Consider the following 24993-nt stretch of genomic DNA (forward strand, 5'->3'; position numbering starts at 1 on the left):
ATGGAAGAGAAGACAACCAAAGTAGACATGTTTTATGTATTTGATGCTACGGTTATATAATTCTAAAATAAATGTGCGGCCTTTTAATTTTGGTGAATATCCACATGTATGAATATTTCCTCATTAACCACTCACTTTTGACATTTTCATGATAGAGATATTACCTTTTATATACAAAGTGATTTTTTTTCCTTTATAGTTTAATACTGAGGACTGCTAAGTAGCTGGGAAACACACTGTAAAATCATTTTTATTGTCCATTTTTGGAAAACTAGTGTTTGAATAATATGGTATAATTCAGTAGCTGGATAAGAAATTCCATTTGTGTTCTTTTAAATACATCTATGATTTGGTCCAATTAAATAATGAGAAGATTTGGTTTATAATATGTGTTGAATGGTTTCCAAATTCACAAATATACATTACTATGTTTTTGCAGGGATGTAGTTAAATCTCACTTCATATTAAGGTACAGAGCTTTGATTTCACCATAAATTCATCTTCTCTTTTATATCAAAATAAATTCCTTGTCTTCCTATTTTAGCAGTGCTGTAAATGGTTGGAAGAAGATTGGATTCAGATCCAACCAGCCATATGTTCTAGGCTTGACTTTGCCATTTTCCATCTGTGTTAACTTTAAGCAAGTCATCTATGGAGTCTTCAGGTTGTAAAATGAGGACTAGATGACCTTAGCTCTAAAATGCTAGAACTAATGCTAATAATAGCAGTAAAAGCAATAGATAACACTTTTGAGTATCTGCTTATGCCAGAGCATATACCGAGTCCTATCCATGGATTATCTCATTTCATCCTTCCTCTCTTATTAGGTAGATGTTCCTATTGTCTCCAATTTATCATTGAGTAAACTGAGATAGCAAAAGCTATTAATTCTGTGGGGGAATGGGTCTGCTAACCCCCTCAGCAACTTGTGCTTTCTTTTATCCTCAAGAAAGACTTGCATTCAAGTTCCACCAAACTTTATTGGAAACTTTCTACATCTCAACTAGTGAATGGGCCAGAATATACATTACAGAACACATTTCTTAAAAGGTATATATCCTTTTGTTGATGCCACTATGGAACCATAGACCATTTCATCAAATATGAGGTAGCATCTCAGAAACCATATTTACAAATACACTTCTCCTATAATGTTTTGGGCATTGCTTCTCAAATATCACAGACAAACTACATCTGTTTATGTTTTTATGCCTGCCAATTAGGCCTTATTTTAAGAAGGTTATATTGCTGTTTGTGTAGGATTCTTTGGAATGTAAATATTATAATATCTAACTTAAAGCCCCAAATCTGGTTAGACTCTTTTTAATTGAAAGATCAAACCTAACTCCTTTTTGTATTTCTCAATTTTTTTCCCCGTAGATGCAGATGAATGCCTACTTTTTGGACAAGAAATCTGCAAAAATGGTTTCTGTTTGAACACTCGGCCTGGGTATGAATGCTACTGTAAGCAAGGGACGTACTATGATCCTGTGAAACTGCAGTGCTTTGGTAAGCTTTAGGGGGATATAGTATGGTGTACTGTGAAAATATACAGATGGAAAAAATAACTATGCTATGTAGTAAAAACAATTTCCTTGAATCTAAATCATGTGTTGAAAAGATGTGTAAACGTTTTAGGGATCTTTTTCTTAAGCACAATTGAAGAAAATAAAAAGAAAAAACCACCTCCATACTACTGTTTGAATGTATTTCAAACAAAGAGTTAATATTCACTGTGGAATTATGATTCAGGCCACTGGTATAACTGAAGTGTTCTTTTGGTCTGTGGAACATCCTGTTTCATCACTCATACCGTGCAAGTGACAGCCATTTTAAATACTGACCCAGACTTTAATGCTTAAGCAGAAAACCATATACACTAGGCAGAAAAACATAGCAAAAGGAAATAATTTTAAAAGTTATCATAAAGAGCCATTTAATCTTAAATTTCTAAGCATATCCTGTTCATGGATGTTTTCTTTCCTTATTTAATGTCAGCAGCAGCAGCAGCAATGTTGTTTTTCAGTCAGAGCAGCTTACATTTTTATAGACAGAGCCACTCTCTTTTGGATGATAATGTGTGGTTAATTAAAATTTGGCAGCACCTGGAATCTGGACTAAATATAGCAATGTGTAAAGTTTGGGAAGTGTATGAGGTACAACTGATGGCTGATTTTCTTTAGTAATACTTTTTTTTGCTCTTAAGATATGGATGAATGTCAAGACCCCAGTAGTTGTATTGATGGCCAGTGTGTTAATACAGAGGGCTCTTACAACTGCTTCTGTACTCACCCCATGGTCCTGGATGCGTCAGAAAAAAGATGTATACGACCGGCTGAGTCAAACGGTATGTTTCCAGGAGATGCAAACCTGTGTCCAAATAACTATCATAAGATTTTCCTTTTAACTAAAATGTGAACTATTGGAAAATAGAAAAATGGATTCCTTGGGTATTTTGAAATAACTAAAATGAGATACAATGAGATACTTACAGAAATAGTAATAAGATGCATATCATCAGTATGTAGGAGATTTAATAGCCTGGACATACTCATTAAGTATGGACTATGGAGTGGCTGAGCAGATGGCAGGGTTGTTCCATGGCTTAGGGTTCATCATCCCTAACCTGCAGAGGCAGCTGAGGGAAATGTAATTCAGGGAAAGATAATTAGGTGCACTCAGCAGAGTGGAGGATGTGGATAAGGCTCAGCAGAACAGAGGGTGGAGTTCAACAGGGTGGTGGAGAGCCCCGAAGTCCACTGACAAACTCCTGTCCTCCCTGATGCTACTGATAATTGGCAAAAAGCCGCTGATAATTGGCATAATCTGTCATTCGCCTCAGGAGACTGCTTTGGATGAAGTCAATTGAAAGGTAGGAATTAAAGACTCTAGGATGAAGGGTCACTAGTCCAGGGCTTTGGCAGATTAAATGGATAAGAAGGCATGAATCCAATAGCTGTTACATGGAAAGAAATGGTAGGGTTTGACAGGAGTAAATGAAAAAGTGAAGATTAGGAGAGTGAGAAGCCTGATGGCTTATGAAGGACAAGCAAGATAGTGGGCATTTTATATAAAAGTAGGAAGCTATAGAGAACTATTGTGTCGGGACCGGATGGGCAGCTGGAATTTCAACTGATGGAATGACACCCAGTTGGAGATGACAGAGAATTGATCCATTGAAAGACCAGACTGGATTCAGACTTTTACTTGGAAGTCACTCTTAGAAATAGAGATGGAAACTTTGAGACTTGCTGGCTTCCAACACAGTGTTTATAAATAGGAATAACTGTGCGATTTTCATGGAACTATGTCTTCCCTTTCAGAACAAATAGAAGAAACTGATGTCTACCAAGATTTGTGCTGGGAACATCTGAGTGATGAATACGTGTGTAGCCGGCCTCTTGTGGGCAAGCAGACAACGTACACTGAGTGCTGCTGTCTGTATGGAGAGGCCTGGGGCATGCAGTGTGCCCTCTGCCCCCTGAAGGATTCAGGTGAGCCCATATCCAATTCCTTCTGCAGGAGGCCTTTGGGGACAAGTTCATCTCACCTCCTTTGTAGCCTGACATTTCTCTTCTGTATCTTTGCCTTCACTCCTGATATCTTACTTTCATCCCGTGTGTGTGTGTGTGTGTGTGTGTAGGGCAGAACTGCATAAACATTTGGCTCCTGGTTTACCTCTACTCCCGACCCTGTCGTTAATTTTTGAAACTCTCATTCCATTACCCCAATGAATGATAAATGACCCAAAAAAACATAACTTAGCAATCAGTGGCATAGGCTTAGAATTTATATTTCCTGGCAGTTCATTTTTTACTACAATTCTTCTCATTCCTAACAGTTTCTACTTAGACCAAAATGTGTATTAGAGACGGTAGAAAATCATTCTAGGTCAAAGTCCAAATTTTCATGTCAATCTCTGTATGTGGAGATATAAGAAACGGGTTACAACAAAAAGGGAAAAGTACAGAAAGTAATTGAAGAAGTATTTCAACAAATCTCCTTTCCTTTCAAGTTCTAGATCTATCTGGGTTTAAACCTTTGGTCAAATGGAAAAGATGAGACAGGCTAAGCTCCCAGTTTCATCCCCTCTCCCAGTTTGGAGGAGGCCTGGAAGGTGCTGGCTTTGTGCTTCCTGGCTAGGCTGTTTGGTGACCGTTGAGTTGTGCACTGATTGCTAATTTCCCTTTTTTACCATCATAGCACCTTCTCATTAAAGGAAAGCACTCGAAAGTGTCCAGTATATCCTTTTGTAAAGTTGACTTGTTAAAGCTAGAAAGATCATGTGCAAGTAGAAAGCAAAGGAGTTTATTATGAATATATTCTCAGAATGGTCGAGAGGGGAAAAATTGCTTGAAAAGAGGAAATGCATTAATTTTTAGTTAATTCAATTAGAATATTTCTTTCAAGCTCTTTAGAAAATTAGCTTTGCAGCTTAGAAATAACTTAAAACCAACGTAGCATGAAAGAGAAAATAATTGGGAATTCCCGTAAGAAGAAAATGAATAGCCAAGGATAAAGAGCAAATACACAAAGCACTAGATGGCAATGATAGCAGCCCAGAATTGGAAAGAGGGCAGGTCTGGGGCCAGTTGGCACTGAGTCTGGAATCCAGCACTGCCATAGCAGCTGCATGACAAGGGGAAAATAACTTCACCCTGTACAGCTCATTTGTAAAACGGAGGCGTCTACATCTGTCCTGTTGGGTTGTTGCAAGGGCTGGGAGGATGTAGGTAGAGCAGGGGGTAATTACTAGCTTTACTGGTTGTTTCGGGCCCTGGAAGCAGATGCCACGGGGAGATAAAAGTGAAATCACTAAGTTAATGTGAGTTCAGTGAGGCTTTTGAGTCATTTTCTCACAATGCTATACTACCTCAAATCTTTTTTATTTATGCAGTGGTTTTATATTGTCTAATTTTTTTCCAAAAATCACATGTATTCCTCCTAAAGTATTAAAATAATCAAAGAGGTTATATTCCCCTCCACCTACCCCATCACAGTTGAACTCTGCTCCTTAAAGACACTCACTTTTGACAGTTGGGTTTTTATCATCCTAGCATTTTCTTATATATTAATTATCATTATATATTGATATTAGTTATTGCTGTATATTAATATATTTATATCCAACAGAGTATTTATAACTGAAGTCTATGTCATCAATCTAAGCTACACTTTGCTTGTTATTTTGCACTTCAGCATCCCTGAGATTGGGGTCATCTGATAATTATGACATATAACAATGTCCACGGGTTATTTTTCCCAATTTTTAACATCTGTTATATCAAGATACATTTTACAATCTAGGATCTCTTAAAATAGATGAAAGTTAGAACTTAAAATTTTTTTATATTGATATATTTAGGGGTGCAAGTGTAGATTTCTTACCTGCAAGTATTCCATAGTGGTAAATAAAGTCTGTGTTTTTTGTGTACCCTTAACAATAGCGAACACTGTGCCCAATAGGTAATTTTTCAACCCTTACCCCACTTCCAGACTCCCACATTTTGGAGTCTCCAGTGTGTATTACTCCATTCCATATGTCCATGTGTACCCATTGTTTAGCTACCATTTATAAGTGAGAACGTTCAGTATTTGACTTTCTGCTTCTGAGTAATTTCAATTAGGATAGTGACCTCCAGTTCCGCCCATGTTGCTGTAAAACACACGATTTTATTCTTGGTTACGGCTTAGTGGTATTACATGGATAAAGAAATTTTCTTACTGAGGCATTCCTACAGGTGCATATGTGGAGGTTCATTGCAGCATTGTTTATAAAAGGAAAATCAGGACTGGGGCAAGATGGGGCAGGGAAAGGTTAGGGGAGGAAGAAAAACAAATGCCCAGCACAAGAGATGGCTAAATAAATCATGTACATCTATAAAACAGATTCCATGCAGCTGTTTAAAAATTACCATCTTTTGGCCGTGCGCGGTGGCTCATGCCTGTAATCACAGCACTTTGGGAGGCCGAGGCGGGCGGATCATGAGGTCAGGAAAGATCAAGACCATACTGGCTAACACAGTGAAACCCTGTCTCTACTAAAAAATAGCCGGGCCTGGTGGCGCATGCCTGTAATCTCAGCTACTCAGGAGGCTGAGGCAGGAGAATAGCTTGAACCTGGGAGGTGGAGGTTGCAGTGAGCCGAGATCGCGCCACTGCACTCCAGCCTGGGCGACAGAGCGAGACTCTGTCTCAAAAAAAAAAAGAAGTTACATCATTTGAATTTAAATTAGTACAGCCTTTATGGAAAACAGTATGGAGATTTCTCAAAGAACTAAAAATAGAACTACCCGGCGATCCCACTAACTGGGTACCTACCCAAAGGGAATGTCTTTATCCATTCCTCCATTGGTGGATACTTAGGTTGATTCTATCTCTTTGCTGTTGTGAGTAGTGCTACAGTAAACACACAAATGCAGGTATCTTTTGGATATAATGACTTCATTCCCTTTGGGTAGGTACCCATAAACAATGCTGCAATGAACCTCCATGTATGCGTCTGCAGGAATGGCTTAGTAAGAAAATTTTGACAAATAAAAATACCAGGCTAAGTGTGTACACTTTAAATTTATGATATTATTCTGGCTGGCACCATGGCTTACGCCTGTAGTCCCAGCATGTTGGGAGGCCGAGGTGGGTGGATTGCCTGAGCTCGGGAGTTTGAGACCAGCCTGGGCAACGTGGTGAAACCCCATCTCTACAAAACATACAAAAATTAGCTGAGCGTGGTGGTACACACCTGTAGTCCTAGCTACTTGGGAGGTTGAGGTGGGAGGATGGCTTCAGCCCGGGAGGCAGAGGTTGCAGTGGGCCAAGATCGCACCACTGCACTCCATCCTGGGCAGCAGAGCCAGACCCTGTCTCAAATAGATAAATAAAATTATACCCCCAAAATACTGTAAAAATTTACACTCAATTTAATTGACTAGGTTTAAAAACCTTCAAGTATTTTGTTATGAGAAATGAATTTTTGAATAATGTAGCAATATTCTAAAAATGAATTTTATTTTAAATATTTATTCTAAAAATATGGATTTCAGAATATTGCATAAATTGTTTTCAACTAAAGTTTTCAAAAAACATTTTAAAAAGTAGATTAGAACAAATACATATGAAGTACATATTATATAATATTTTTGGAAAAATACAGAATATCAGGGGAAAAAAGATAACACATGCCAAATTTAAAAAAAAAAGATTAGCTTCATTGCTATACTGTTTCTAGTTTGTATATCCACAGTTATTATGATAAAATGTCCAAGAAGAATCTCTAGTGTACATGGTCAGCCAAACCAAAATCAGTGCTTTCCAATCCGTTACTTTTTAAAAAACAATGGTAGTTTTTTTGTTAACTGTATTGTAATTTTAACCTCCAGCATACACATTCATTGACATTAAAGATGCTGGGTGGGCTGGTTGGCGAGAACAACTACTTAGGCTCTTGAGGCCCCTGTGAAGGACCCCAGGGTTCCAGGAAACGCATGTTGAAAACTGCTTTCGAAATATATCTGTTGGAGTATATAGGAATTAGGGAGGTAGCCCCAAAGGAACTTTTTTTATTTTTTGACAGAGTCTCGCTCTGTCACCCAGGCTGAAGTGCAGTGGCGGGATCTCAGCTCAGCGCAACCTCCACCTCCCAGGTTCAAGAGATTCTCCCACCTATTACAGGCGCGCACCACCACACACACAAAAATAATTTTTTGTATTTGGTAGACACAGGGGAACTTTTCTTTTATACTACCAAAATTACGGACCTAGAACTAGGCTTATGGATCATCTATTCTGAATCCAGAGAGAAGTACACAGTGAAATTAAACTTTTCCACAGGTCCTATGATTAGTTGGCATTCCCTTCATTGGCACCTAATCATGTAGTCACATTTACACAAAACCATCTCTTGTTGCAAAGCACATGTTTGCTGGAGTGGAGTGAACTAAGAGGAGCCCCAGGGCATCAGGGTTAGCACATGTGCCCCAGAACCAGGTTGCCCTGCCTTTGCATCCTGGTTTGGCAACTTCTTTTCCCCATGACCTTGTTAATTTTCTCTCTCTGTACCTCAGTTTCTCATGTGAAAATAATATCTGCCTTTCAGGGTGGTTGTGAGAATTAAATAATACGTGAACACTTCAAATAGTGTTTGACACATGGTAAGTTTTCAGAAGATACTAACAACTATGGCTGCCACTAATAGGCGTCTCAGATCAAATGCATTTTCAAATGTAATTAAAATCCAAAGGATCTTATAAAATCTACAGTTACCTAATAGCATGTGAACATAAATTAAGCGTAGACAAATGCAGAAATAATTGTTCTTAATGTAAGACTGTCTTTTCTAGACCACTGCTTCGTAAACATTAATGGGCATGTCAGTTACCTGGGGGAGCTTATCAAAAAACAGATTCTGGTTTCTCACTTGCAAAAGATGGGGCGGGGCGCGAGACACAGGATTCTGCATTTCTGATAAGTCCCAAGCTGCTGCTGCTGCTGCTGCTTCCTCTGAGGAGGAAGCAAAGCTCTAGAGCCATCTAATAGCATCTAACTTTATTTTGTTAAAACCTACGTTAATGCTGGTAGTTATCTATCATAAAGGAAGCAAAGAATATGTGAATTTTAAAACTAGTTTGTTCATAGTTTCTGCCATTGAACCTTTTAAATATACTGTTCCCGGATATCTTAATCGTTGAGAAGGACCACGTTGTCTATCTCTTCATCTAAGCACTGGACTAATCCCAGCCTGTCAGACATCATGCATCCCATTTTCCTTAGGAGTGCAGTACTGCTTTGGGGAACAATTCGTTACTGATGGAATCAGTGCTGGAGGAATTTAAGGAATAAATCGCACCACTTGTCATCAGCTTTAAGCATTAAAGTGCAGTGTAAAATAAAGCTTTGGCTCCAGAGCGAGCTTTCACACTTCTGGTCCAACAGGTCACGGGCACTAATTCTTGCTAAAGCAGCAACTACATCTGAGAGTACTGGTAGGTGCAGGAGGTAGGAGTGGCTGCTTAAATAGTGTTCTCTGAAGTTAGATGGCATCTTGCATATTGGTACCACATGCAGGGGAAATGAGTGTGATGGATTGTGTCAGGGGAGCTTTACATAAGGAGAATTGCATAATTGTAGAATTCATACATTTCTGGGGCTGCTTAGGATCCCATTTCAATGCTCCACTACAGAGGCCAGACCGCAGACTGCACTAGGAGGAAGTTCCTGATTTTTCCTTCACCATGGATGTATCATGGACTGACTGTCTCCCCATTCAGACTTCTGGAGGCCTTCCTTGCCCCATTGCAGCCCCTGACTCCTCTTCTCCTTCCCCTTTCACAGTACCCGCTGATCCTGCCCACTCTTAAAATGATTTGGGTGGCTAAACTGTTTTGGGAGGATCCTCAAATTTGTGGTCTTTATTGTGATGTCATGTCAGCCTCTGAGAGACAGAGCTGTTTGGGAAACCAAGTCAGGAAAAACGAGCCATTGTATCCATTTCATAAATGAAGACAGAGTGGTCATTGTTTGATCTTGCTGAGAATTTCTAGCGCTGTGAGAGAAGAAAGTCATAGAGTTATCAGAACTTTGAGGCCTTTGGTTGCATATGGAGTTTATTGGATATAGATTTTTTGTTGCTTGGTTTTTCTCAGTCTAAGTGATAATAAAAATGATAACTAACATATACATAGCACAATGCCTGGCATTTTCAACATGTTTTCCATCTACTGAGATATTTAACTTGCCAAGCCATCTTAGGTATACAGTTACAGTAGTCCTCTGCCTTATCTGGTTTCAGTTACCCACAGTCAACCACGGTCCGAAATATTAAGGGGAAAATTCCAAAAATAAACAACTCATAAGTTTTAAATTGCATGCAGTTCTGAGTAGTGTGATGAAATCTGGTGGTGTCCCACCCAGCACGTGGACCATCCCTTTGTCCATGGTGTCCATACTGTGTATGCTACTTGCCCATTAGTCACTTAGTAGCAGCTCCATTATCTGATAGAAATCGATCGTATATATAAGGTTGAGTACTACCTGCAGTTTAAGGCATCCACTGGGGGTCTTGGAACATATCCCTAGTGGATAAGGGAGAATACTACCCCTCCTTTTTCTGACAGAGGATCTGAGGCACAGCAAGCTTAAGATGCCTGTCAGTGGTCACGTACCAGTAAGTGGAAGCTTCAAATCCAGGCACCCTTGCTCCAGAATCTACGTTCTAACCTCTTCAGTGTTACTCGAGTCTCTTTCCATGATCCCAAAGCACATCTTAAATAGTCTCCCTTAGAACAGAAAAGTAACAAAGTGAAGAATTAAAGCTGAGATTTTAAAATTGTCTCACACATTGTGTGCTAAAAGAAAAACTGATTTTAGAGCTAACAATGAGCATAATAAGAGGCAATGTGTCATCAAATCTGTAGCCACAGACACATTGGCAGGAATAACAAAAAACTATATATTCAATGGACTAATGAACTAAAGCAAGTCAATAATTCTCAGTAAATAAAACTTTTAGTGATGCCTATCACTTAATCTAAAATGATTTTTTAATGTTTTTATTTTTTGCTACTCTTAAAAGTATAAGCTTAATCACCGGGTGTGGTGGCTCACACCTGTAATCCCAGCACTTTGGGAGGCAGAGGTGGGCAGATCACTTAAGGTCAGGAGTTTGAGACTGGCCTGGCCAACGTGGTGAAACCCCATCTCTACTAAATTAGCCAGGCATGGTGGCGCATGCCTGCAATCCTAGCTACTCTGGAGACTGAGGCACAAGAATTGCTTGAACCCAGGAGGCGGAGGTTGCAGTGAGCGAAGATCGTGCCACTGCACTCTAGTTTGGACAACAGAGCAAGACTTCATCTGAAAAAAGATAACATAAGCTTAAATGTTCTGGAAAATGTACGTAAGAATCACAAGATAGAGGGTGCCATTATCTCATGGAAATCAAAATCCGTTGATCTGCAAATGAAAGAAAATTATACATATTTGAACATTTGAATCTTAAGTACCCAGGGATCCCAGTGTCTTTTTATATTGTTAAAATAATTAGATTTCTGATAAGTAAATTGTTAAAGTAATTAGACATTGTAAGTAAACGGAACAAAGACTTGATAAACGGGACAACTAGTGTGTTGGGAGAATGCCACCTATTGGCGATGTAATGTACTACAGCACAGGTAATTTCTTGACTACTCAGGTGTAGAAAGATGGTTTTAAAACATGAGGTCCCAAAGGAAACAGAAGGTGCCACAAAATAAATTGAAAAATGTTAACAAAGTTTAATGAAACACGAACATTGATCAACATACAGAGGCATGGTCCTCTCAGTGTTGCTAAGAGAGCAGTTTGAAGAGACAGACTTACACATCTGAATCAAAAATTCTAGTTCTGGGACTGATGAAAGAGCAAATGGATTTTGTTTAATGCCTATTGAATAAAAGAATAAAGCACAAAGGCATGATGTGAATAGGCACTTAGTGAGGATCTGTTGAGTCAAAGCAATGTCAGTATGTATCCAACTTCCTTTGAGAAAGGTAGACTGTGCTATAGGGGAATAGAAGATATTTGTCAGTTATTCATACTCCTTTAAATAATGCTAGGAAGAATTATCATTACTGTATATAAATTATATACAGCTTGTGGTTTATAAGAAGAGATAAGTAAATGATCTGAAATGAAATCTAAATTATTTATAACTTACCTGTTTTCAGTTTTAGTTAAATTACTTACATGTTCTTTATTTTATTATTTATTGAATGCCTACTATGTACTAGGCAAACAATTCTGGAACAGGTGTAAAGTTGTATTTAATGAAATGCATAATTAGTATAATTTATTCCTAAATATTATGTATTTTAAATCTGCAAATGATACTTTAATAAATTCACCATTTGCTGTGACAGAAAATTTTTCAATCCTTCCTAATATCTAACCTACCCAAGTATTCATATCATTTTGCAAAAGTAAAGAATTTGGAATGTCTTCAAACAATTCGGCTAGTGATTTCTTCCATATCTGTGCATGGCTCTTAGACGCTCCCAAAGATCTCAGGGCAAGAAGTTTCGTAATGCCCTTGGAGGTGTGAAGGAAGACAGGGATTTGACTCATGGACTAAACTTGAAAAAATATTGTAACTGGGCCATAGTTGCAAAAGGCCTGTCAGCAGTCACGGTTTAAAGGCTTTTCCAAGAAATATGTTTCCAAAGAATGTTAATAATCACTTTGGAACACCCTACTTGTGAAACAATGAGTGGTCACTGCCTTTGGTTTAGGCAATCCAGGGATCTCTTTCTGCTTTTGGTCCTGGCTCTGTGACATTGCACTGGGCACATTACTTCAACCTCCTTTATCCAAAGTTGAGACCTCTTCGTGAGGTTATGATAATTAATACAATCACTATGAAAGCATTTATCATTTCAATCATAGATCCTGAACATTATAATTAAAGAAACAATAACCGCTAGTCACTTACAATGGAAAATTAAAATCAAACTAGAAAGATACAAAAGGAAATCGAGTGGCCGTCATGCGGGCACAGAGAATATCTATAAAACAGGCAAGCGTTCCAGTTCTGTGGGACTGAACTCTTGGTATCCATGGAACTAGATTGAATGGATGTTATATGAAATGGCCAGTAAGCCAGTTATGTTGTTCCTCATTGAAAGGACTCTTGGCCCGGCACAGTGGCTCACGCCTGTAACCTCAGCACTTGGGAGGCCAAGGTGGGCAGATTCTGAGGTCAGGAGTTCGAGACCAGCCTGGCCAATATGGTGAAACCTCATCTCTACTAAAAATACAAAAATTACCTGGGTGTGGTGGCGTGTGCCTCTAGTCCCAGCTACTCTGGAGGCTGAGGCAGAAGAATCGCTTGAACCCGGGAGGTGGCTGTTGCAGTGAGCCAAGATTGTGCCACTGCACTGCAGCCTGGGCAACAGAGCAAGACTCCTTCCCAAAAAAGAAAAAAGAAAGGACTCCTGTATTTATTTAGAAAGCTTTCTCTCACCCCTCCCAAAGAAAGGTTGAAAATACTTTTACTACTCTCAAAAGATTATTGCAAAATAAAATTCATTAGTGAATTCAAACTGAAAGTAGCTCTTTGATGTAATGTGATCCGTATGTTAATTTCCTCACTTGAAATCCTAGTGATTTCTTCCATATCCATGCATGGCTCTTACATGCTCAAGAGGGTTAAATGTGATAATGCATGGGAGAGGATTGGCCTACAGTAAATGCGCCATAGCGAAAGGCGTTAGCAATTATTATGAATCAAATCCAGTTCTAGGAAATGAGTCAACGTTCATCATGCACTGCTCCCTGGTTATCCAGTGCTAGAAGTCTCTTTGAAAGGGGCCAAGAATCAAAGACAATGAGGGATAGGAGGGTGTTCAGGGAATTGCACAGACCCGAATACCCCTGTGTACTTGCAGAGAAGCTCCACCTGTGCCCGGCCAGGCTCCTACAGTGTAAGTTAGGAAGTCAAAGAGAGGCTTTATGCACACAAAGGACCATTATGTTGAGTTGTTTGTTTGTTTGTTTGTTTATTTTGAGACGGAGTCTCGCTCTGTCGCCCAGGCTGGAGTGCAGTGGCACGATCTCGGCTCACTGCAAGCTCTGCCTCCCAGGTTCACGCCATTCTCCTGCCTCAGCCTCCTGAGTAGCTGGGACCACAGGCGCCCGCCACCATGCCCGGCTAATTTTTTTGTATTTTTTTTTTTTTTTTTTTAGTAGAGACGGGGTTTCACCATGTTAGCCAGGGTGGCCTCAATCTCCTGACCTCGTGATCTGCCCGCCTCGGCCTCCCAAAGTGCTGGGATTACAGGTGTCAGCCACTGCGCCCGGCCTATGTTGGGTTTTAATGAACATTCAATGTACTCAATTTTTAAATGTTAAAACCTAGATATTCCTAAGAATTTGATTTCAACTTTCACATTTTATCATCCTATTTATAAGTCCAATAACCTTCTATAAAATAAGATCAATTTTATTTGTTGACTGTTTATATGTCTCAAAGAACGGATTAAACTTAAAAGTTATTTCTACATATAAATTCTATTAATTAAAATTTTGAACACTTTGGTCTCCATCTCACAATCCTAATAAGCATTTCCTCATAAATATTTAATTAGCTCTTATAAGTCTAATAAACCAAACTTAAAACACAACAAATTGAATTCCCTAATAAATTTAAATAATGTTTACCAACCTAATCAAATTCTCCTAATCCTCATTCAACTTAAAATCCAAAATCTAAATTCAGTTTTGAGTTGAAGTTGCAAGGCCTGTCAGGTTCTCTGATGATATGATTCTCTTAGGCACTAACACATGTACAATAACAAGAAAAAGCCCTCACCCTAAGACGTGTCACAGAAAGTGTTAACATTCTAAGCTTAATTAACTTCATTATTTCTGTAGCAGAATTACTGTGTTAGGCCAGCTGAGGTTAGTGGCTGAAAAAATTCAGGACCCTGATTGCCAGTTGGAAATGAGAGAATGAAAACCAGGACTTGGGACCTGCATCCTCTCAGTAATGAGTCTGCCCTGCCCACCATAGGATGCGGAGCACCTTCTTGCTTCCGTGCTAACGGGATCCCAGGTGTTTCTCATGTGTGTTTTTTTATAATCAGTATCTTCCATTGCAGTGACTTTCAAGGGAATAATAGGACAGAAAAAATAAATAGGACCTTTTATCCAACTATACATGCCCTCCCGTAGGAATCAGATACCTTCTCCTAAGGGGATATCCTCACCCCACTGAGATTCCCTAGTAGATCAATAGCTGCCAGCAGGATGGGGCTTTTATGGATGGTCAGGGCCTCCTTTACTAAACTGGGGAAGAGGTACTGGATTTGTGAAAGGGGCCAAATAAGCAGGAATGAATGGCAGAGAAGCCAGGTACAAAAAGCAGGGACAGTACGTACATAAGAGGAAAAATACTAGATGCTAAATTGTGTGTTTTTAAAAAATAACCATGTTTGGGCAGGTGCATTGGAAGGAAAGAAAGCAATGGGCAAGGAAGCCACATTCCAGTTATGATCCTATTGTAGTCATTGAAAGCAGAAGAAAAGCAAACATGGTTTGCCGCAAGGTGAGAATAGTTAAAATAAAATTTTTAAAAACCCTGATAGAGGGGAAAACTTACTCCTTCATTTCTTGCTAAACTGCTGAAGACAGAGCTCTGGAGGAGTGTCCTGGAACAAGCTGCCATTCCCAAACCCCAAATCCCTGGATTGCGGGTGAGTCAGCAAGTATTTGGAACGCCGACCAGGGAGGACCAGTGGACCTTGCTAGACTGCACTGTAGCATGAACTCTCTGTTTTGAAAGCTGATTGAAGCTACTGCCTCAGTGTCCTCACCAGCCATTAGAGAACAGTTCAAGGCGAGAGAAGTTTGATTAATGGGTTACTCGTTGGTGACATGAGCACTTCTGAAATTTTACTTCTTGTACAGCTTGAGCCTTGGAGTGTCAGTTGTATTCATGGCACTTTTCCTAAGAGCTATACTGCATGGAAGTGCTAGGGAAAGTATTTGGCCACTCTCTGTTATAAAAAATACTCTGAATAGAAAATAAATTTCATTATGATAATAATCTTACTGATGTCCTATTAAAATCTTTCTAGTTTGAGCGAAAGGAGAGAAATTCAGGCATGCATGTAAACAATCTGATCCTAAAAAGCAACACTTATTTTTAGTTAACAAGTGTATCAGTCTGTTTTTACACTGCTATAAAGATACTACCTGAGATGGGTAATTTATAAAGAACAGTTCTTCATGGCTGGGGAGGCCTCAGGAGACTTATAATTGTGGCAGAAGGCAAAGCCAGACACTTCTTACCTGGCGACAGGACAGAAGGAGAGAAAGAGCGAGGAAGTGCCACACTTGAAACCATCAACTCTCCTGAGAACTCCCTCACTATCATGAGAACAGCGTGGGGGAAACTGCCCCATGATCCAGTCACCTCCCACCAGGTCGGGATTACAATTCAAGATGAGATTTGGGTGGGGACACAAAGTCAAACCATATCAACAAGCAATCATATTTATCTCAAAAGTAAAAGTCTTAGCAGTTTTACCTTTCTCCTGTGAAATCAGAGATTATGAATAGGCATTCCGTTTTCTAGAATCGCCCATTCAGTATGATACTAAATGATTTGGTCTAGTGAACATTTTACTTTCATATATATATATATGTGTGTGTGTGTGTGTGTGTGTGTGTGTGTGTGTGTTTTGTTTGTTTGTTTGTTTTGGAGACAGAGTCTCGCTCTGTTGCCCAGGCTGGAGTGCACTGGCACGATCTCGGCTCACTGAAACTTCTGCCTCCTGGGTTCAAGCGATTCACCTGCCACAGCCTCCCGAGTAGCTGGGACTACAGGCTCACACCACCACACCTGGCTAATATTTTTTATTATTATTTTAGTAGAAATGGGGTTTCACCATGTTGCCCAGGCTGGTTTCAAACTCCTGAGCTCAGGCAATCCACCCGCCTCAGCCTCCCAAAGTGCTAGGATTACAGGCGTGAGTCACCACGCCCAGCATACTTTCACATCTTTTAAATAAAATTTGCTCTTCTTTTTTTCCTTTTGAAAATAGGGCTAGTTGAAGCATACTCTAAGAAGCATGAACTGTGATGAGTCTGACTTTGAGAAAATCACTGTGCATAATTGCTTAAGCACTGTTCTAAGTTTGAGGTTTTGAATTCAACTAACGTTTGAATTTCTTTTGACCTCTTCTTAACGAACCTAATAATACAACTATGGCTAGAACAAAGCTGCTGACTGCCCATGTCTGTTAAACAGTGACCTCATGGCCAGAGCAGGCAAGCCGGGCAGAGGAGGGATGAAGTAAATTTTATTCTCCTTTTATGCCGCAGACAGATTGTGCCCCTTATGATTGGGAGAAAAACATCTAGAAAGTTCTTAGAATGACCAGGTTCTTGTATTTACAAATCTGCAGGGAGCAGAAGCTAGAAAGTAATTGTTCTGCTAAGCATCAGTAGCCACTACCTTAAGAAAGAAGCAGATTACAAAACATTAGCTCATTGGGAGGGCTTCTGACACAACAAAGCCTTCTTTATGCTTCCTTCTGGGCTTCAAGTCTCAGTGGCAGGCTGAGCTGTTTTGAGCAGTTGTGCTGATTGTACACTGCTCATTTCAAGAAAATACTAGGTTGGTGCAAAAGTAATTTCAGTTTTTGCCATTGCTTTTTTTTTTTTTTTTTTTTTTTCTTTTTCCAAGACAGAGTCTCATTCTGTTGCCCAGGCTGGAGTGCAGTGGTGCAATCTTGGCTCACTGCAAGCTCCGCCTCCCAGGTTCAAGCAATTCTCCTGCCTCAGCCTCCTGAGGAGCTGGGACTACAGGTGCCTGCCACCATGCCCAGCTAATTTTTTGTATTTTTATTAGAGAGAGGGTTTTACCTTGTTAGCCAGGATGGTCTCAATCTCCTGACGTTGTGATCCACCCACCTCGGCCTCCCAAAGTGCTGGGATTCATAGGCATGAGCCACCGTGCCCGGCCCTGCCATTACTTTTAATGCATTCATGTGGTAATCTGTGAGCCCCTTCCAAAGAAATCACTGCCAGAGGCAGAAGTTGCTAGGACTGTATCTGATAGTGAACAGATCCAGAGGGGAAGGAAAGAGGAGGGTCATCTCAGATTGAAGTAAATGGCAGAATACAAAGAAATCATAAAACAGAATCAGGATTTCAAGATAGTCCATCTTTTACTTTGCAGTGATGTCTTACTTCCTGTTATTGAATGAAATACATTTTCATGACTAGTCATTGACTATGTTTAGTGTTATTTTCATATTACATTGATTAGAACTTGCTCTTCCAATAATGTTAATGGATAGTGGTATATCTTTGTTATTCAGAACCTTGAGATCTGAACTTCTGAATATTAAGAGAGTTTTAAATATTAGAAGAGCTTTCTCTGCTATGAAGCTTTAAAAAAATAAGCAAGATTAAAATACGTTAAAACACAATTTTCTTTATAATTTAATAGCTTATTACTTTTAGTAAAAGAAAACAAAATTTATCCTGGCTTGACCTTTGGAATATCATAAAATTTCTGTAAACTTCAGTTTCCTCAGCAAAATAATACATGGGAAGATTAGATGTCCACGCTTACAGTTTGTTAAATTACATGTTTGTCATCATTCTGAAAAATATCTAGATGGGCACCACCTGCAGGTAACAGCGTCATCTAGTGGTGATTACCTTATATTACAGCCACAGGTTTCAAAGACAAATTGTCTTTCCAAGAGTTTTGCAGCCCATGATAAGAATGTTTTCTGCTCAGGCCAGATGCAGTGGCTCACACCTGTAATCCCAGCACTTTGGGAGGTCAAAGCGGGTGGATCACCTGAGGTCAGGAGTTTGAGACCAGCCTGGCCAACGTGGTGAAACTCTGTTTCTACTAAAAAAATACAAAAAAAAAAAAAAAATTAGCTGGGCGTGATGGCACACGCCTTCTGAGGCAGGAGAATCACTTGAACCCAGGAAGCAGAGGCTGCTGTGAGCTGAGATCACGCCATTGAACTCTAGCTTGGGGGACAAGAGTGAAACTCCGTCTTTAAAAAAAAAAGAATGTTTTCTGTTTAAAATCATAGAATATGCAAGCTAGAAAGGACCTTCGAGATCATCTAGTCTTATTGCCTCATTTTGCCAGTTAAAGTTAGTTGAATTCCAGAGTTAACATATTAAATATTTTCCCCTCCTGTATTTTTTGTTTCTCTTGACTTTTTAAAAATTGCAGTGAACTTCACAGAACATGAAATTAAGCACTCTAAAGTGAACAATTTAGTGGCATTTACTACGTTGACGATGTAATGCAACCTCCCCTTTATTCTTAAGCACATGCTTAGTTCCTGTTTTTAAACAATTCTTACTTGGTTAATGAAGAAAAAAAGTTCTTTGTATGTATAACTTAAAAAAAAAATTTCAGCTTGTCAGATTGTTGCTTCAGAGTGGTATTTAAAGAGCAGGAAAGGGGAAATGAAGTGGTTTACCTGTCCTTGCAGCTGAAAAAATATGAAGTAGATCAGTTTGGAAATTTAACATGCTGAACACTCTTTTCATTTGCCTCTTTGTTTATTGTGTTGTTCAGTCTTGTCTCTTATCAATTTTAGAAGCCTCATTCCTGATTTCCTATGAAATTGCTTGGATGTAAGACTTAATATATTTCCTATGCCCCAGATACATTGGCAATCATTATTTTAAGGTTATTGTGTGTGGCATAATTTAATACTATTACAGTAGTATAAATGTTTGGATCCAGGTTTTAAAATGCAAAGGAACCACTATTTTTTTGGCATTTCTACCCAACAAATCTCTTTTTTCATTTTGTCTTGCTAAATAAACAGCAGTCTGTTGGGAAACTCTGGGAGTAACTAAAATGAGGAGGGTAACATTAGGTGAAGGTTGGGAGTGGGGAGAACGTGGTTGGTCTATGGCCCGTGAGTCTCCTTAGAGTATTAACATTTACAGGAGTCCCACAGAATATAAACCTTGCCAAGACTTTAGACTTCATTACTTCCCTGTCCTCGACAAGTACAATTTAATTGAACATTAAGCAATTTGATCTCTTTCACCTAATAAATCGAGCAAATTCAATAAACATAAATCCTGCTAATGATGGAGCTGCCCCTGGTGGAGCTGAGCTCATCAGCATTCATGGTTATTACTCTCCCTGGAATTTTAGTCACAAATGCTTATTGCTGAACTAAGTGCTTACCTGATGCTTAAGGTCTAGGGAGTGTATTTAATAATTTTTTTCCCAGGGTTTCAAAAGGACAGCTGGGGAGTAGAAAGAACATGGTTTGGCAGATAGACCACTTTGGGTTCAAATCCCTCACCTGACCTTGGGCAAGGCAAGTTATGCTATTAAAAAGTGTAGTTTTCTTATTGGAAACAAAAGGAGCTAATTACAATTATTTCATAGAGTTCTGAGTTTTAAATGAAACAGTGTATGCAAAAGTAGTGTCTGGTGCGTAGGAACTTAATAGTGCGTGTTAGCTAACTCTCTTGTTTTTAATTGTTCAGTAGCCTGCATCTACAGCAGTTAGCGCCCTACTGCTTCTTTTTTTTTTTTTTTTTTTTTTTTTTTTTTTTTTTTTTGAGACAGAGTCTCGCTCTGTTGCCCAGGCTGGAGTGCAGTGGTGCGATCTCGGTTCACTGCAACCTCCACCTCCCGAGTTCAAGCAATTCTCCTGTCTCAGCCTCCCAGGTAGCTGGGACTACAGGTGCACGCCACCACGCCTGGCTAATTTTTGTATTTTTGGTAGAGACGGGGTTTCACCATATTGTTCAGGCTGCTCTCGAACTCCTGACTGTAGGTGATCCACCCGCCTCGGGCTCCCAAAGTGCTGGGATTATAGGCGTGAGCCACGGTGCCCAGTCTAGCTTCCCTAATGCTTTCTTATCTATTATACATGCTTATGACTCTCTCTGAGTTACCTTCCTTCCTCTTCTACCTGGTTAACCTCCTGGCTACAGATGGTGTTTTCAAGCTGAAGCCTTTCCCAGCTCTTCCAGGATGACTTTAGTCATCGTCTCTGTGATCCTGATAAGTTATTGCATGTGCCCTGATTGACTATCATCACATCTTTCCGTACTCTCAGGTCCCACCCTGTCCGTAATGAAGCAATGAATGAATCACTTTTAATAGAGCTAAGGCAAAGAGTACCTTAATTCCGTGCAATAAATGGAGAAACTAAGGCTAAAAGAACCGTGTCCAGACCAAGAAACTAGGAAGTGGAGAAACAAGGACTAGAACCCAAGTCTTTGGATTCCAGGTGTTTGCAGTGTATCCAGTTTTGCATCACAACACCACATATTTTAGTTTTAGGGAAGGAGGGTTGCTGCCTGTTCACCAGAGACTGTAAGCAGTAATGTATTCCGGGATAAAGAGCAGGACAGACACCCAGGCAGACATCCAGTCTCACAGTATTGTGGCAATACCCAAGGAGGTCTCTCTTCCACCTTTCTTTACTGGTACAGAGTGGAATGTTCTGTAAATGGCCACCGTTTTTCTAATTTCATAACTTTTACTAATTTCATTTAAAGAAAAGTGCCCATTGGCTGGGCGCAGTGGCTCACGCCTGTAATCCCAGCACTTTGGGAGGCCGAGGCAGGCAGATCACGAGGTCAGGAGCTCAAGACCAGCCTGGCCAACATACTGAAACCCCGTCTCTACTAAAAATATAAAATTAGCCGGGCATGGTGGCGCACATCTGTAGTCCCAGCTACTCGGGAGGCTGAGGCAGGAGAATCACTCGAATCTGGGAGGTGGAGATTGCAGTGAACCGAGATTGCGCCACTGCACTCCATCCTGGGTGACAGAGCGAGACTCCGTCTCAGGGGAATAAAAAAGTGTCTATTACAATGCTGGCTTATCAGTCACTGGAGGAGACAGTCATTTCATTCTCTTTATCTCCTCCCTCTGTTTCCTAGTTGTGTGTTTTAAACACCATTGTCGTTAATCCATGTTTAAACCTGTAAGAAAAATACCTGGTCTAGAAATTGTAGTAGCATGTGACCCACTTTTCTGCTTCTTTTTCTCTTTTTTTTCTTTTCTTTCTTTTTTTAGATAGGGTCTCACTCTGCTCAGGCTGGAGTGCAGTGGCACAATCACAGCTCACTGCAGCCTGGACTTATCTGGGCTCAGATGATCCTCTAGCCTCAGTGTGCCGCTATGCCCAGCTAATTTTTGAATATTTTTTTGTGGAGACAGAGTTTCACCATGTTGCCCAGGCTGGTCTCAAACTCCTGGGCTCAAGTGATCTGCCCACCTCAGCCTCCCAAAGTGCTGGGATTACAGGCGTGAGCCACTGCGCCCAGCCCTGACCTGTTTTTCTTAATGCATGAAAATTGGTCCTTGTTTCTCTTATATTTGAAAATAACACAGTTCAAACTTCAGAGCGTTGCATTTTTAGCCCTGATGTGTGCAAAACGAAATTGCAACCTCTCTACCATTTCTAAAAACAGCTGAATTTAATTTGCCTCAGTCAGAACTAAAACTTTACCTCCTGGTCTCCTCACATGCCAGGGTAGCATTGTGACATGTGACTGTCCAGACTGCCCTGCACATGTGTCTGTCATCAAGAATGGAGATTTCTTATAGTAAGGATATGGTAATGTTCCTTCCATTGCTGCCAACAGCAGGGGCCCCACACCCACAGGCTCCAGGGGATAATTTTTAAACCTTTTCTTTTTTCAATTTAAGATGAAAAGCAACAGCATTTGTCATATGAATCAGCCATGCCAGGGAAATTAATGTGATCAATGGCCTGGATCTTGTTTAGACTACTTAGCGACGGCGTCCCATAGCATCCCTTATGTATCTTTCATAGCTTTGATCAAGAGCTAAGCATTTGCGCTTGGGGCATGGGGAATGCAGTGGGTCGGGGAGGGTCTTTGAGGTGTGACTGTTTCCATTTCCTGTTCATTTCACATTGGTATTTGGCTAGATTCCAGATGGACACATTGTATGGGGTCTCAAATGGGATTGCCTCCAAAGTGCACCTCTCAGGGCAAGCCCTGCTAAGCAAAAACTTTTCCTTTGCACCGAGCCCCAGACAAGGAGGTGACTATTGTTCTTGATGCACAGAAGTCAAGGGTGTTTTGGAGAAAGAGAAAGATTCTAAGGACAGAAAATGTGTTCATCTCCACATGTTGAGCTGGATAAAGTAGCAGCCAAGAGTTTCTTGTGGGAAGTTATGGAAATAGTTTAGGGATCTGCTATTCTTGGGCTCTGTACTCTCAGCCAACCACAGTTCATGCAGTTCCCCAAGCTGGACTGTAGCAGTGACCTAGTCATCGAGATAACCAAGGCCAAGCACCTCCAAGCTGTAATGGGTTCTGCTTGTGGCTTGGGGTGCCCAGAGGCCCAGCACATGCTAGAAATTTGCCTGTACCGAGATCCTAAAGAGGATGACTTGCCCAAGTCCTGATATTTCCATTGCTTTCCTGAAAGATGGTGAAATCCACTTCTATAAACCTATTCTCTTCTGTTAACTTATTCTCTATGTAAGACATTTCTGATTTAGGCCTATATTAAAAATTCTTGGACATCAGTTTTTCCCCTGTACTTTGAGTTCTGATGATCTAATGTTAAAATGTACTATTGTTCATACTTTATCACTGCACAACCAAGTAATGAAATTTACCAAGGCAGTCAACAGTTTTGTGCCTTGTTTGAGAGGAAGTCTAGGAAGACTTCTCTATTTACTGAGCTAGTTTCCCTCTACCTATTTAAAAACTCCAAATAGTCTTGAAACAAGATTTAAAAACACCTGTGGACCGTTCTTCCATTGCTCTTTACTGCACAATTATTTGCCTGTTGATCACTGCTTTTACGTTTTGTTAACATTAAAATGTAAATCACTCACTCATTATAATACTGTCTTTAAAAAAAACTTCATTTATTTCCAAATGTTCACTAGGGACTTAGTGATGTCACCCACAGGAAAAAATTGGATTCTCCATTTTCTTGATGCTTCAAATTTTTAAAATAGTTTCACAACATTATCTCATTTTTTTACATATCAGTAACACAGATGTAGTCAAACAAGAATTCTTGTTCCTGTGTTACAGATGTGGAAACTGAGGCTTGCCCAAAACTGCTAAGCTGGGAAGTAAGTGGTGCAGTCAGGACTTGAGCCTCAGCTTCCACCTCTGAAGCCCATGTTCTTCCCATTACCCCACGATCCTGGCCAAGAATCAGGGCAGATGTGCATGATGGGAAGGGCGGCGTGGATGGATTAGGACAGACCTGTGCAGGCTCCCAGAAAAATAATTCAAAATACATTTCCTGGTGATGACGGGACTTTAGCACATCTTCAGATACAGAAGAGAAGACATGGTGCAGAAAGGATGTTTTGATCACTGACCAAAACTGTCTTGGAGCTTGGAATGTGAATGTGTTAGAGAAAAGTGAAGCAGCAAAGGGCAACACGCTCTAGCATTTTAAGAGGAAAAAACGCATGGCAGGGGAAGAAAGGAAAGGAAGGAGGATGTGGAATATCCCAGAAGTACCTCCCCCAACCCATTACCCTCCACTGCCCGCTTCCCTAGCCTTGGTCTAGTCAGAAGACTTCTTTAGGAACCATTTGGTAGTTCCAAAAAACAACTTAGTTTTCTTTCTTGATGCCTTTGGGTACGTGCTTTTAAAAACTAATCCAAAATTCTGCAACATAATTCCTACATACCTACTTAGTTTCAGTTCAGGTCCACCTTTTGCAGGGAGCTGTTCCTAAACATTGCATAGGAACAGGAGCCTGCCCTTCCTCTTCACCCTCACCTTCAGTCCTTTCCTCTGGCGTTGCTGTAGAGTGACAGCTTAGAGACTCAAGCCCATCTCATTTCTTTGGTGGAGGAAGCATGTCTAGGGGAGTGCACTGGATTGAAGGTGGCTGCCCTGGCCAGCCCCTGATCATGGCATTCGACATCCCCGGACCTCAAGTCTCAGCAAGGCTTCTCTGACAGCCAACAGGCATCAGCAGGATGCTCAGCCATCTCTGGATTTCACTTTATAAAATAAGTACCTTGGCCAAGCACGGCAGCTCGCACCTGTAATCCCAGCACTTAGGGAGGCCAAGGTGATAGGATCGCTTGAGCCTAGAAGTTGAGACCAGCTTGGGCAACATTGTGAGACCCTGTCTCTACAAAAAATAACAAAAATTAGCCAGGTTTGGTAGCTCATGCCTGTAGTTCCAACTACTCAGGAGGCTGAGGTGAAAGGATCGCTTGAGCCCAGGAGTTTGAGGCTGCAGTGAACCACGATACCACAATGGTGCCACTGCATTCCAGCATGGGTGGCAGAGCAAGACCCTTTTTTTTTTTTTTTTTTTTTTGAGACGGAGTCTCGCTCTATCACCCAGGCTGGAGTGCAGTGGTGCAATTTCGGCTCACTGCAACCTCTGCCTCCTAGGTTCAAGCGATTCTCCTGCCTCAGCCTCCTGAGTAGCTGGGACTATAGGTACGTGCCACCATGCCCAGCTAATTTTG

At 40.4% G+C, this 24993-nt stretch overlaps 1 protein-coding gene across 65 annotated transcripts in view; it reads left to right on the forward strand.

Annotated features, from left to right (window-relative positions):
* The window catches only part of LTBP1 (latent transforming growth factor beta binding protein 1), a 452557-nt gene that overhangs the window by 415057 nt on the left and 12507 nt on the right, over positions 1-24993 (forward strand). For all 65 annotated transcript variants that reach the window (XM_011532853.3, XM_011532857.3, XM_011532861.3 and 62 more), the window contains 3 exons: positions 1381-1509; positions 2207-2347; positions 3324-3494. In XM_011532853.3, the coding sequence (XP_011531155.1) occupies positions 1381-1509; positions 2207-2347; positions 3324-3494 (441 nt within the window). The remainder of the gene's footprint in view (positions 1-1380; positions 1510-2206; positions 2348-3323; positions 3495-24993) is intronic.

The sequence above is a fragment of the Homo sapiens genome, chromosome 2 (genome assembly GCF_000001405.40).
Source record: "Homo sapiens chromosome 2, GRCh38.p14 Primary Assembly".
Classification (NCBI taxonomy): Eukaryota; Metazoa; Chordata; class Mammalia; order Primates; family Hominidae; genus Homo; species Homo sapiens.